Source organism: Homo sapiens, chromosome 8 (genome assembly GCF_000001405.40).
Source record: "Homo sapiens chromosome 8, GRCh38.p14 Primary Assembly".
Taxonomy (NCBI): Eukaryota; Metazoa; Chordata; class Mammalia; order Primates; family Hominidae; genus Homo; species Homo sapiens.
In genome coordinates this window covers 31228875-31244562 of record NC_000008.11, presented here as the reverse complement: position 1 = coordinate 31244562, position 15688 = coordinate 31228875, and the positions used below count along the sequence as shown (strand labels likewise).

Below are 15688 nucleotides of genomic sequence, written 5' to 3'. Positions count from 1 at the left end.
ACTGCACTGTGGGAGCCCCTTTCTGGGCTGGCCAAGGCCGGAGCCGGCTCCCTCAGCTTGCGGGGAGGTGTGGAGGGAGAGGCGGGAGCGGGAACCGGGGCTGTGCGCGGCGCTTGCTGGCCAGCGTGAGTTCCGGGTGGGCGTGGGCTCGGTGGGCCCCGCACTTGGAGCTGCCGGCCGCCCGACCGGCCCTGGGCAGTGAGGGGCTTAGCACCTGGGCCAGCAGCTGCCGTGCTCGATTTCTCACTGGGCCTTAGCTGTCTCCCCATGGGGCAGGGCTGGGGACCTGCAGCCCACCATGCCTGAGCCTCCCCCACCATGCCGTGGGCTCCTGCGCGGCCCGAGCCTCCCCAACGAGCACTGCTCCCTGCTCCACAGAGCCCAGTCCTATCGACCACCCAAGGGCTGAGGAGTGCGGGCTAACGGCTGGGACTGGCAGGCAGCTCCACCTGCCACACTGGTGCGGGATCCACTGGGTGAAGCCAGCTGGGCTCCTGAGTCTAGTGGGGACTTGGAGAACCTTTATAAAGTCTAGCTAAGGGATTGTAAACACACCAGTCAGCACGCTGTGTCTAGCTCAGGGTTTGTAAATGCACCAATCGGCACTCTATATCTAGTTAATCTGGTGGGGACTTGGAGAATCTTTGTCTAGCTAAGGGATTGTGAATGCACCAATAGACACTCTGTATCTAGCTAATCTAGTGGAGAGGTGGAGAACTTTTGTGTCTAGGTCAGGGACTGTAAATGCACCAATCAGCACCCTGTCAAAATGGACCAATCAGCTCTCTGTAAAACACACCAATCGGCTCTCTGTAAAATGGACCAATCAGCAGGATGTGGGTGGGGCCAGATAAGGGAATAAAAGCAGGCTGTGCCAGCCAGAAGTGGCAACCCGCTGGGGTCTCCTTCTACACTTTGGAAGCTTTGTTCTTACGCTCTTTAAAATAAATCTTGCTGCTGCTCACTCATTGGGTCCACACTGCCTTTATGAGCTGTAGCACTCACCATGAAGGTCTGCAACTTCACTCCTGAAGCCAGCGAGACCACGAACCCACCAGAAGGAAGAAACTCTGAACACATCTGAACATCAGAAGGAACAAACTCCAGACACGCCGCCTTTAAGAACTGTAACACTCACTGCGAGGGTCCGCGGCTTTATTCTTGAAGTCAGTGAGACCAAGACCCTACCAATTCCGGACACACTAGGCTTAAGGGATCCTCCCACCTCAGCCTCCTAAGTAGCTGGGACTACCGGTGCACCACCCTACCCAGCTAATTTTTTATTTTTATACAGATGAGGCCCCACTTTGCTTCCCTGGCTGGTCTGGACCTCATGGGCTCAACAATCCTCCTACCTCAGCCTCCCAAAGTGCTAAGATGACAGGTGTGAGACATGGCGCCCAGCTGAGTGGTGTTTTTTTAACCTCACTGAATACTCAAATCATAGGTCCCTCATCTTCATCAATAAGTCAGACCACATTTTTTCCATATAACCAATAGCTCTCAATTTAGTGTCCTAGATTACTTCTTATAACCAAAAACTTCTCACCGGAAGAGGTTTTCTGTTAGCTTTAGACTTCACATAAAGTTTTCCCAAAACTCTGATGGAAGTTCCAAGACAACGTAGAAAGTGTCTTTCTCCATGTAGGAGATGGGGTCACTTGGAAAGGATACCTGTTAGATGAGAATCTTCATATTGAGGCTTTTACTGTGAGACAGGGGAAAGGAAAAATGCTAAACACAACACTCTAAGAGCCCTTCAAAGCAATAAACCCTCTAAACATAAAAAGTCACACAACCGGGCTGGGCACGGTGGCTCGCGCCTACAGTCCCAGCGCTTTGGGAGGCTGAGACAGGCAGATCACGAGGTTAGGGGTTCGAGACCAGCCTGACCAACATGGTGAAACCCCATCTCTACTAAAAATACAAAATTTAGTCAGGCGTGGTGGTGCGCACCTATAATCCCAGCTAATCAGGAGGCTGAGGCAGGAGAATCACTTGATGCTGGTAGGCAGAAGTTGCAGTGAGCCGAGATCTCGCCACTGCACTCCAGCCTGGGTGACAGAGCAAGCCTCTCTCAAATAAAGGTCACACAACCATGTGCAATAACCAGGACACACACAGGAATAATCCTACACCAACTGTTCCCAATCGCGCATCCATCCACCACCTCAACTCCTTCCTCATGTCCCATCCACTTGCAAAGACGTGACTGCCATCTGGTATGAGAAGACAATTATGATCTTGATTCCTCCTGGTACCTTCATACAGCTAGGTTCCTTCCATGTTTTCCATGAGTAACACACAGATATCCATGGAACTTGCCAGCCACTCGCAGCCAACTCCCTCAACCATTGTACATCAGTGCAAAACACTCAGGACTTGACTTCACTCACTTCCTAGTAGTCAATCACATGCTGGAGGTAGGATCTTTAAGCCTGCTTATGAAAATAACACCATGGTTTGAACTATTCTGGGCTGAGGAACCCAGGAAAAGTAATCTCTTTTGCAACTTGTTAACTGGTTAACATAAAACTTGCATTTTAGATATCATAGGATTGGGTATAAAACAATAAAGTTAATATTTAAACATTGATGCTCTTACAATCATAAGTAGTCTGACTACCTTATTTTTTTTTTAAAGTCCCCCAGGCTGGAGTGCAGTGGCACCATCATAGCTCACCACAGCCTTGAACCCCTGTCTTCAAGCAATCTTCCCACTCATACCCCAAACTAGCCAGGAGTACAGGCACATGCCACCATGCCTAACTACAGGGATTCACTACATTGCCCAGGCTGGTCTCAAATGCCTGGGCTCACGTGATCCACCCACCTCAGCTTCCCAAAGTGCTGGAATTACAGGTATGAGCCACCACGTCCACCTGTTTCTTTTCTTTTGGCTTATAAGTACACACCTTATCTTTTTACAAAACAAGTAGCAGAATAGAAGTAATTCTTAAGCTATATGTTAGTTATATCCGCATGCGTGTAAATCAAGTTACAAACAAATAATTTTAAGTGGTCTCACAAGAAGGTTTTTTTTGAAAGCAAACACCTATAATTTGTGATACAATGATGCCCCTAAATTTATACCATTGATAAATTTCTATCTTTATTTCCTAAGATATTATCTTAAAGTGAAACCTGCTTCTATCAACTAAAAAATAAGAACTAATAATGAACTAGGACCTCTGACAAGAATAGAAAATTCATCTCTCTTATCCTCCACTGCTGGCAGTCATCTCAGATAAAATGTTTTTGGATTTTAGGTGTAAGAAAATATAGGAAGGCCAAGGCAGGAGGATTGCTTGAGGCCAGGAGTTCCAGACCAGCCTGGGCAACATAGCAAGACCTTGTTTCCACAAAGAAACAATTTTTGATTAGCTAGGTATGGTGGCATGCAACTGTAGTCCCAGTTGCTCAGGAGGCTACAGCAGGAGGATCATTTGACCCAAGAAGTTCAAGGATACAGTGAGCTATGAACACACCACTGCACTCCAGCTTGGGCAACACGGCAAGACCCTGTCTCAAAAAAAAAAAGAAAGAAAGAAAAAAAGAAAAAGAAAATATATGTAACTCTACTTTTTGCAACTAAAGATACAACAGGAACTTCCCCTGGAGAGCTTCGTCACAGTAACACTCCACTAGCAGAAACGCCCACCATTCTGAGCCTCACGGAAACTGAGAAAGACCTGAAGGATAGTTCCCACCTTGTTGCTGTGAAAGGCTAAAAGAAATAAAAATAAAAAGCAAAGTTCTGGATCTCCCACCCTCACTTCTTTCTATGGCCTCTTAAAAAGAAGCTCCTTAAGACGTTTTCCCACTTTAAAACTTTTAATAGTAAATGTTATTTAAAGTTATTTTAGGCCAGGTACAGTGACTCATGCCTGTAATGCTAGCACTTTGCGGGGCTGAGGCAGTCATATCACTTGAGTTGAAGAGTTCAAGACTAGCCTGGACAACATGGCGAAACCCCATCTCTAGAGAATATACAAAAATTAGCCAGGTGTGGTGGCACGTGCCCGTAGTCCCAGCTACTTGGTAGGCTCAAGTGAGAGAATCACTTTGAGCCCAGGAGGTCAAGGCTGAGTGAGCCATGGTTGTGTCACTGCACTCCAGCCTGGGTAACAGAGCAAGACTCTACCTCAAAAAATAGTAATAAAATAAAAATAAAGCTATTTTAGAGCACTGTCAGAAGGAACAAAGCTACTGTTTTCACTGCTGCAACTTTCAGAGGCATTCGAACCAGAGCGACTCAATTTTGAGTGAGGGCTAGGAAAATGAGGCTGAGATTTGCTGGGCTGCGTTCCCAGAAAATTAGGTATTCCTAGCCTCTAGATGTTTGTGGTTAAGGGAACAAATTTATAATGTTTACTAAAACAGACCCAGACTTGGGAGTGTCCAGATATTTCGATATCTGGAGAACAAAGGCATTCCTAATTTTGCTTTAAAGATAATAATATTGATTCTTACAGAATATAGTAATTAAGAAAATTAATCCTTTATCACATCACCCTTGCAGCAGAACACATCTCTGCATATATACAAGTATTGTACCTAGGGTGGACACATTCCTCCTCTTACTTTCAGGAACGTCCTACTCTGTCTATGGAGTAGCTGTCCTTTCACCACTTTACTTCCTTAATAAACTTGCTTTTACTTTGCACTGCAGACTCGCCTTGAATTCTTTCTTGTGCAAGATCCAAGAACCTTCTCTTGGGGTCTGGATCAGGACTCCTTTCCTGTAACACAACTGCTGTTCTGAAGCAACAAGCAGGGGTAGCTGAAGGTGACCTCGAACCGTGTGTTGCTTGAGATCACAGGTTCTGGCTTTGTAAGGTATGGCATGTTAAACCTTAAAGCAGATGGCCTGGACAATGTCACATCTGCTGAAGACTTTTCCAGTCATCAGTTCAGAGACTAAAGTGTCCATCCAAGAAACGTAAGTTCCAACGCTCTTGGGAAGTGAACCTTCTGGTGACCCTGAGTGAGTGCCAAAATGGAAATTTGTTCTGCAGACAGATTCTCTTCTCATTGCTTTCCTCATGACCTTCCCAGGAAAGCGTTTGGAGTTTGGATTGATACTCACAAGCTATTGAACAATTGGTGGGTTTCAAAGATGTGGAGGTTGGTGACTTACCACTATCTGAGAGAACATTAGTCTATGCTACGTAAACACCCTGGAAAATAGGAGACATCCACAAAGAAGCCTAAGAAACAAGCAGTAAAAGGCAGAAGCCTGCTTTTCCCCAAGAAGTGGGAACTTGTTTGAAAGAGAATGAGTCGTTCAGAAATAAAGATGACTTTCAGATGGAGTCTGAGGGGTTCCCCTGGAATCTGCTTAAGAAAGCTTGAGTGCCTTAAAAGTGGCCCCAGAAAAGGGCGTGAGTCACTCATTTCTCTCATAGATTAAGCACAAGGAAAGCCCTGGCAGGCACCATTTATCATGACAAAAGGCAAGAAAGCCTCTGCTAATTACAGCCCTGGAGGGAGGCAGCACTTCCTGCCTCTACACTGGGCTGTCACACAAGTGAATCACCCTCTGCTGTAGCCACCCTGGGAAGCAGCTCAGGGCCTCCTGGAACTGCACTATCTGGAATAGCCTAAGACCAAACGGTGACTGAAGTGTGCCCCTCATATCCCCGCAAAGTGCCCTTTCCCTCCTGCTTTTGGCTCCTGAGCAGAAGAAGAACAGTAGCTCCTCTCACCTGAGATATAGAGCTTTTCTAGTTTGCCTTATTCCTAGGACATTTCTGGAAAAAAAAAAAAATAGCCTAACTTCCACCTCTATACACTTCACAAGAACAGCTCCAATCCCAATCTACTTCTCTAGCCTGGAACCCACTCCTGAATTCCCGATTCTCTCTCCTGTTTCCAAAGGCAGTCTCTTCTACATTGCTATCTGGATATCTTTTGGTGGTGGAGGGTTGTTGAGGTTTGTATGATTGTTTTGTTTTGTTTTGTTTTTGTAGAGACAGGGTCTCCCTATGTTGCCCAGGCTGGCCTCGAACTCCTGAGGCTCAAGTGATCATCCGCCTCAGCCTCCCGAAGTGCTGGGATTACAGGCATGAGCCACTGCACATGCAGTCAAAAATCCACATGTAATTTTTGACTCTCCAAAAACCTAACTACTAGTAGTCTGACTAGAAGCCTTACTAATAACATGAACAGTCCATTAACAGATTTTGTGCATTATATGTATTATATACTGTGTTCTTACAATAAAGCAAGCTAGAAAAAAGAAAATGTTACTAAGAAAATCCTAAGAAAGAGAAAATGTAATTACCATTCATTAAGTGGAAGTGGATCATCCTACAGGTCTTCACGCTCATTGTCTTCACATTGAGTATGCAGAAGAGGAAGAGGAAGAGGGGTTGGTTTTGCTGTCTCGGGGTGACAGAGGCAGAAGGAAATTCAATTATGAGTGGACCCTCACAGCTCAAACTTGTGTTGTTCAAGGGTCAACCACATATCATAAATCTGGAAGAAATTTGACACTCATGTCTACCAGGCAGGCCAGCACTTGACACCATGTTGCAGTTAGGGCCTAGGCTGGATATCTTCTACTTGTTCTATTATATTTACTCTCAATCTTTCCCCATACCAATTGAGCTCAGGAGATTGACCCCCATGAGACAACATCAATGGGATCCTTTGTCTTCTGGCTTGTGAGAGGATGTGACCAGTGGAAGGCACTCGGGAGTAATAGGGGAGAGAAATAAAAAGGGGTTTGCCACTGCATGTTCTCACTCATAAGTGGGACTTGAACTATGAAAACACATGGACACAGGGAAGGGAACATCACATACCGGGGCCTGTCGAGGGGTAGAGGGCAAGGGGAGGGAGAGCATTAGGACAAATACCGAATGCATGTGGGGTTTAAAACCTAGATTGAGGAGTTGATAGGTGCAGCAAACCACCACGGCACATGTATACCTATGTAACAAACATATACATTCAGCACATGTATCCCAGAACTTAAAGTAAAATTAAATAAAAATAAAAAAAGAAAGATGGACAAAGGGCCCTAGGCAGTTAATTAGCACAAATAAACTACACACTGCCAATAAACAGAATAAATATGAAAGAAAGAAAGAGAGACAGAGAAAAAAGAAAGAGAGAGAAAAGGTCTGTGGGGGGGGGCGGGGTGGAGCCAAGATGGCCGAATAGGAACAGCTCCAGTCTACAGCTCCCAGCGTGAGCAACGCAGAAGACGGGTGATTTCTGCATTTCCAACTGAGATACTGGGTTCATCTCACTGGGGACTGTAGGGAAGTGGATGCAGAACAGTGGGTGCAATGCACTGAGAGTAAGCCAAAGCAGGACGAGGCATCGCCTCACCCGGGAAGTGCAAGGGGTCAGGGAATTCCCTTTCCTAGTCAAAGAAAGGGGTAAGAGATGGCACCTGGAAAATCAGGTCACTCCCACCCTAATACTGTGCTTTTCTAACGGGCTTAAAAATGGCACACCAGGAGGTTATATCCTGTGCCTGGCTCAGAGGGACCTATGCCCACGGAGCCACGGAGCCATGCTCATTGCTAGCACAGCAGTCTGAGATCAAACTGCAGGGCGGCAGCAAGGCTAGGGGAGGGCGCCCACCATTTCCGAGGCTTGAGTAGGTAAACAAAGCAGCCAGGAAGCTCGAACTGGGTGGAGCCCACCGCAGCTCAAGGAGGCCTGCCTGCCTCTGTAGACTCCACCTCTGGGGGCAGGGCATAGCCAAACAAAAGGCAGCAGAATCCTCTGCAGACTTAAATGTCCCTGTCTGACAGCTTTGAAGAGAGTAGTGGTTCTCCCAGCACGCAGCTGGAGATCTGAGAATGGACAGACTGCCTCCTCAAGTGCGTCCCTGACCCCCGAGTAGCCTAACTGGGAAGCACCCCTCAGTAGGGGCAGACTGATACCTCACACAGCTGAGTACTCCTCTGAGACAAAACTTCCAGAGGAACGATCAGGCAGCAACATTTGCTGCTCACCAATATCTGCTGTTCTGCAGCCTCTGCTGCTGATACCCAAGCAAACAGGGTCTGGAGTGGACCTCCAGCAAACTCCAACAGACCTGCAGCTGAGGGTCCTGACTGTTAGAAGGAAAACTAACAAACAGAAAGGACATCCATACCGAAATCCCATCTGTACGTCACCATCATCAAAGACCAAGGGTAGATAAAACCACCAAGATGGGGAAAAAACAAAGCAGAAAACCTGGAAACTCTAAAAATCAGAGTGCCTCTCCTCCTCCAAAGGAACTCAGCTCCTCACCAGCAACGGAACAAAGCTGGATGGAGAATGACTATGACGAGTTGAGAGAAGAAGGCTTCAGACTATCAAACTACTCCGAGCTAAAGGAGGAAGTTCGAACCCATGGCAAAGAAGTTAAAAACCTTGAAAAAAGATTAGACGAATGGCTAACTAGAATAACCAATGCAGAGAAGTCCTTAAAAAACCTGATGGAGCTGAAAACCATGGCACAAGAACTACGTGATGAATGCACAAGTCTCAGCAGCTGATTCGATCAACTGGAAGAAAGGATATCAGTGATGGAAGATCAAATGAATGAAATGAAATGAGAAGAGAAGTTTAGAGAAAAAAAAATAAAAAGAAATGAACAAAGCCTCCAAGAAATATGGGACTATGTGAAAAAACCAAATCTACGTCTGATTGGTGTACCTGAAATCGACGGGGAGAATGGAACCAAGTTGGAAATCACTCCGCAGGATATTATCCAGGAGAACTTCCCCAATCTAGCAAGGCAGGCCAACATTCAGATTCAGGAAATACAGAGAACACCACAAAGATACTCCTCGAGAAAAGCAACTCCAAGACAAATAATTGTCAGATTCACCAAAGTTGAAATGAAGGAAAAAATGTTAAGGGCAGCCAGAGAGAAAGGTTGGGTTACCCACAAAGGGAAGTCCTTCAGACTAACAGCTGATCTCTCAGCAGAAACTCTACAAGCCAGAAGAGAGTGGGGGCCAATATTCAACATTCTTAAAGAAAAGAATTTTCAACCCAGATTTTCATATCCTGCCAAACTAAGCTTCATAAGTGAAGGAGAAATAAAATCCTTTACGGACAAGCAAATGCTGAGAGATTTTGTCACCACCAGGCCTGCCCTACAAGAGCTCCTGAAGGAAGCACTAAACATGGAAAGGAACAACTGGTACCAGCCACTGCAAAAACATGACAAATTGTAAAGACCATTGATGCTAGGAAGAAACTACATTCACTAATGTGCAAAATAACCAGCTAACATCATAATGACAGGATCAAATTCACACATAACAATATTAATCTTAAATGTCAATGGGCTAAATGCTCCAATTAAAAGACACAGACTGCCAGACTGGATAAAGAGTCAAGACCCATCAGTGTGCTGTATTCAGGAAACCCATCTCACGTGCAGAGACACATATAGGCTCAAAATAAAGGGATGGAGGAAGATCTACCAAGCAAATGGAAAACAAAAAAAGGCAGGGGTTGCAATCCTAGTCTCTGATAAAACAGACTTTAAACCAACAAAGATCAAAAGAGACAAAGAAGGCCATTACATGACGGTAAAGGGATCAATTCAACAAGAAGAGCTAACTATCCTAAATATATATGCACCCAATACAGGAGCACCCAAATTCATAAAGCAAGTCCTTAGAGACCTACAAAGAGACTTAGACTCCCAAGCAATAATAATGGGAGACTTTAACACCCCACTGTCAACATTAGACAGATCAATGAGACAGAAAGTTAACAAGGATATCCAGGATTTGAACTCAGCTCTGCACCAAGCGGACCTAATAGACATCTACAGAACTCTCCACCCCAAATCAATAGAATGTACATTCTTTACAGCACCACACCACACTTATTCCAAAATTGACCACATAGTTGGAAGTAAAGCACTCCTCAGCAAATGTAAAAGAACAGAAATTATAACAAACTGTCTCTCAGACCACAGTGCAATCAAACTAGAACTCAGGATTAAGAAACTCACTCAAAACCACTCAACTACATGGAAACTGAACAACCTGCTCCTGAATGACTACTGGGTACATAACGAAATGAAGGCAGAAATAAAGATGTTCTTTGAAACCAATGAGAACAAAGACACAACATACCAGAATCTCTGGGACACATTCAAAGCAGTGTGTAGAGGGAAATTTATAGCACTAAATGCCCACAAGAGAAAGCAGGAAAGATCTAAAATTGACACCCTAACATCACAATTAAAGGAACTAGAGAAGCAAGAGCAAACACATTCAAAAGCTAGCAGAAGGCAAGAAATAACTAAGATCAGAGCAGAACTGAAGGAGATAGAGACACAAAAAACCCTTCAAAAAATCAATGAATCCAGGAGCTGGTTTTTTGAAATGATCAACAAAATGGATAGACCACTAGCAAGACTAATAAAGAAGAAAAGAGAGAAGGATCAAATAGATGCAAGAAAAAATGATAAAGGGGATATCACCACCAATCCCACAGAAATACAAACTACCATCAGAGAATACTATAAACACCCCTACACAAATAAACTAGAAAATCTAGAAGAAATGGATAAATTCCTGGACACATACACACTCCCAAGACTAAACCAGGAAGAAGTTGAATCTCTGAATAGACCAGTAACAGGCTCTGAAATTGAGGCAATAATTAATAGCTTACCAACTAAAAAAAGTCCAGGACCAGATGGATTCACAGCCAAATTCCACCAGAGGTACAAGAAGGAGCTGGTACCATTCGTTCTGAAACTATTCCAATCAATAGAAAAAGAGAGAATCCTCCCTAACTCATTTTATGAGGCCAGCATCATCCAGATACCAAAGCCTGGCAGAGACACAACAAAAAAAGAGAATTTTAGGCCAATATCCCTGATGAACATCGATGCACAAATCCTCAACAAAATACTGGCAAACTGAATCCAGCAGCACATCAAAAAGCTTATCCACCATGATCAAGTGGGCTTCATCCCTGGGATGCAAGGCTGGTTCAACATACAAAAATCAATAAACATAATCTAGCATATAAACAGAACCAATGACACAAACCACATGATTGTCTCAATAGATGCAGAAAAGGCCTTTGACAAAATTCAACAATGCTTCATGCTAAAAACTCTCAATAAATTAGGTATTGATGGGATGTATCTCAAAATAATAAGAGCTATCTATGACAAACCCACAGCCAGTATCATACTGAATGGCAAAAACTGGAAGCATTCCCTTTGAAAACTGGCACAAGACAGTGATGCCCTCTCTCACCACTCCTATTCAACATAGTGTTGGAAGTTCTGGCCAGGGCAATCAGGCAGAAGAAGGAAATAAAGAGTATTCAATGAGGAAAATAGGAAGTCAAATTGTCCCTATTTGCAGATGACATGATTGTATATCTAGAAAACCCCATCCTCTCAGCCCAAAGTCTCCTTAAGCTGATAGGCAACTTCAGCAAGTCTCAGGATACAAAATCAATGTGCAAAAATCACAAGCATTCTTATACACCAAAAACAGACAAACAGAGAGCCAAATGATGAGTGAACTCCCATTCACAATTGCTTCAAAGAGAATAAAATACCTAGGAATTCAACTTACAAAGGATGTGAAAGACCTCTTCAAGGAGAACTACAAACCACTGCTTAATGAAATAAAAGAGGATACAAACCAATGGAAGAACATTCCATGCTCACAGGTAGGAAGAATCAATATTATGAAAATGGCCATACTGCCCAAGGTAATTTATAGATTCAATGCCATTCCCATCAAGCTACCAATGACTTGCTTCACAGAATTGGAAAAAACTACTTTAAAGTTCATATGGAACCAGAAAAGAGCCTGCATTGCCAAGTCAATCCTAAGCCAAAAGAACAAAGCTGGAGGCATCACACTACCTGACTTCAAACTATACTACAAGCCTACAGTAACCAAAACAGCATGGTACTGGTACCAAAACAGAGATATAGACCAATGGAACAGAACAGAGTCCTCAGAAATAATGCCACATATCTACAACTATCTGATCTTTGACAAACCTGACAAAAACAAGGAATGGGGAAAGGATTCCTATTTAACAAATGGTGCTGGGAAAACTGGCTAGCCATATATAGAAAGCTGAAACTGGATCCCTTCCTTACACCTTATACAAAAATTAATTCAAGATGGATTAAAGACTTACATGTTAGACCTAAAACCATAAAAACCCTAGAAGAAAACCTAGGCAATACCATTCAGGACATAGGCACAGGCAAGGACTTCATGTCTAAAATACCAAAAGCAATGGTAACAAAAGCCAAAATTGACAAATGGGATCTAATTAAATTAAAGAGCTTCTGCACAGCAAAAGAAACTACCATCAGAGTGAACAGACAACCTACAGAATGGAAGAAAATTTTTGCAATCCACTCACCTGACAAAGAGCTAATATCCAGAATCTACAATGAACTCCAACAAATTTACAAGAAAAAACAAACAACCCCATCAAACAGTGGGCGAAGGATATGAACAGACACTTCTCAAAAGAAGACATTTATGCAGCCAAAAGACATATGAAAAAATGCTCATCATCACTGGCCATCAGACAAATGCAAATCAAAACCACAATGAGATACCATCTCACACCAGTTAGAATGGCGATCATTAAGAAGTCAGGAAACAACAGGTGCTGGAGAGGATGTGGAGAAATAGGAACACTTTTACACTGTTGGTGGGACTGTAAACTAGTTCAACCATTGTGGAAGTCAGTGTGGCGATTCTTCAGGGATCCAGAACTAGAAATACCATTTGACCCAGCAATCCCATTACTAGGTATATACCCAAAGGATTATAAATCATGCTGCTATAAAGACACATGCACACGTATGTTTATTGCGGCACTATTCACAATAGCAAAGACTTGGAACCAACACAAATGTCCAACAATGATAGATTGGATTAAGAAAATGTGGCACATATACACCATGGAATACTATGCAGCCATAAAAAATTATGAGTTCATGTCCTTTGTAGGGACATGGATGAAGCTGGAAACCATCATTCTCAGCAAACTATCACAAGGACAAAAAACCAAACACTGCATGTTCTCACTCATAGATGGGAATTGAACAATGAGAACACATGGACACAGGAAGAGGAACATCACACACCGGGGCCTGTTGTGGGGTCAGGGGAGAGGGGAGGGATAGCATTAGGAGGTATATCTAATGTTAAATGATGAGTTAATGGGTGCAGCACACCAGCATGGCACATGTATACTTATGTAACTAACCTGCACATTGTGCACATGTACCCTAAAACTTAAGGTATAATTTAAAAAAAAAAGAAAGAGAAAAGAAAAAGTAAAAAACAAAAATGAAAATAAAAAAGGTCAAAGGGTTTGTTTTCCCTGCTACCTCCTTTGAGTAGCTTCCTCCTTCTCCCAAAGGCCAAGCTTTGACAGGCAGGTATCTGCCCAGAGCTTGCCTCTCCAGATCCAGGACCATCCTCCCATTGCCTCTTCCAGCCGGTGCTGTCAACTTCCCACAGTTACTAACCTGTAGTCCTATAATTGCATCAGCTAGCTTCCTCAAACCTTACCTGCACCTCTAGGCATAGTCCCCTATTAAATCCTCTTCCAAATAACTAGTTTGGGCATGCCATTTGTTTCTTGACAGGACCCTGACTGATAGAGTCATTGTTGCCTAGAGTGAAACTAGGAAAAAGACTTTCAAAACGGGATTCTTGGTTGAGCTTATCATACATATTTGAGAAGCTCGCAAATAACCTCCTTGTTAAACTCCTTGTTAAAAGGAAGTGGGGTTCTAGTAACCCATGGCATGTGTTGGCATCACCATTACTTAGATCATCACAGGTAGGGATGGGATGAACTGCAGGTAGGAGGCAAGTTGCTGAAAAATAAACTGTCTGGGATATATCATTGCTATGGCAACAACAGTACTTATAAAACATGTAGGGCTGATTATAAAGATTATGGGACCAGCTGGCTTTTTCTGATTTCCCTAGAGAGGATACCTAGGGGAAAGAAGAAATTGGAGTTGGTAATCATTCAACTCAAAACAAACATAGAAAACCAGGCCAGGCACAGTGGCTCACACCTGTAATCCCAACACCTTGGGAAGGCAGGAGGCTCACTTGAGCCCAGGAGTTCAAAACCAGCCTAGGCAATGTAGACCCTGGCTCTACCAAAAAAAAAAAAAAAAGTTTTTAATTAGTCAGTTATGGTGGTGCATACCTGTGGTCCCAGCTACTCAGGAGGCTGAGGTGGGAGGATTGCTTGAGCCCAAGAATTCAAGGCTGCAGTGAGCCATGATTGTACCACTGCACTCCAGCCTGGGTGACAGAATGAGATTCTGTCTCAGTAGGAAAGAAAGAAGGAAGGAAGGAAGGAAGGAAGGAAGGAAGGAAGGAAGGAAGGAAGGAAGGAAGGAAGGAAGGAAAGAAGGAAGGAAGGAAGGAAGGTAGGTAGATTGGTTAAGAGTCCTTTGTCTTACGCAGTAACAGAATAAATAGCTGAGGCCCAAGAGCAAGCCTGTTTTTAGGAGACATAGAGTTGAAAAACCCACTAAGTGGTCAGCACTGTCATGTCTGTTCACCACGATAAGGGTATTGGTTGGTGATGAAGGAGGGGAAGCCTGAGATAGGGAAGAGGTCATCTGAGCAATCAGAAATGAGGCTGAGTGTGTTGAACCCCCAGATCTTTTTGGACCTTCCTTGAAAGCGGAATCAATCCCTCTCCACTCTGAGTTTCGCTGCCTTTTTCCTGGGGCAGAAAAAAATTTTCAATGATTGTACCGGGGGTAGTTGCTTCAAAAATGAATGTTTCTTATGCTCAGGACCTGGCCAGACCCTCAACCATTCTTGTCTCCAAGTTCATGATGAGAGTTTGAGCCTAACAGAGATAGGACAAGGAAGTGCAATGTCCCCTACAGGATTCTGAAGGATATGTATGGGAGCAATTTGAAGGGCATGGCACCAGGAAACTGAAATATATAAAGCTGTTTGGACTGCATGTATTGATATGGGTATGTGTAACCCAGAATTAGAATTTAATAAACTGGCTTCAGTGCCAGGGAGTAGTGTTACCAGTCTACTGGATTGGTTAACTGAAGCCTGGACTCAAGAGTGAGAAGCAGTCAATGAGGTTAACATGCTAAAAATCCTCTGGTTTACTGTAGAAGAAGGAATCCAAAAGCTCAGTGAGGTGGAGATGTTGAAACAGATATATTATGAGCGACCTCCATAGCCACTCCTACCCTTACCCACTAGAAGGACCTGAGGACACTGCCTTCACCAAGACATTAGGAAATTAAGTAATTCATTGATGAGAGGGGAAGACATTTGTTGGTGGGAAAGGCAGTAATCGGCATCTTTTAAAGGTCTGCAGTAGCTCTTCTCCATAAGCCGATGATGATAGAGGGAAACGCTGCAGAAGAACCAACGCTCCCTGGCTTTGGTGGGGAAATGGGATCCTAGTGTACTGGAGGACAGGCAGCAACCCTGACCACCACAGGCGAGGAGGGCACAATGATCACTAAAGCCATAAGAACTAAGTTGTTATCGGAGGGTTTAGACTCGCAGGATTCCGGGGTTGTCTAATAGATCGTGGAATCCCTGTCAATGAAAGGGGTGGACAGACTACAAGGATGCTGCTTGGTAATTATAAATGGAAGAATTCCAGGTCTGCTGGGCAGACACCTCACTCTAGCTGCTGC

General features: G+C 43.9%; 1 annotated feature.

Moving 5' to 3' along the window:
- Positions 5038–5660: an enhancer, noted in NCBI's record as "OCT4-NANOG-H3K27ac hESC enhancer chr8:31096419-31097041 (GRCh37/hg19 assembly coordinates)". NCBI's record gives its function as "activates a minimal SCP1, AML or CMV promoter by ChIP-STARR-seq in primed H9 embryonic stem cells {active_cell/tissue: H9 hESC(primed)}" and the evidence as "EXISTENCE:reporter gene assay evidence [ECO:0000049][PMID:30033119]".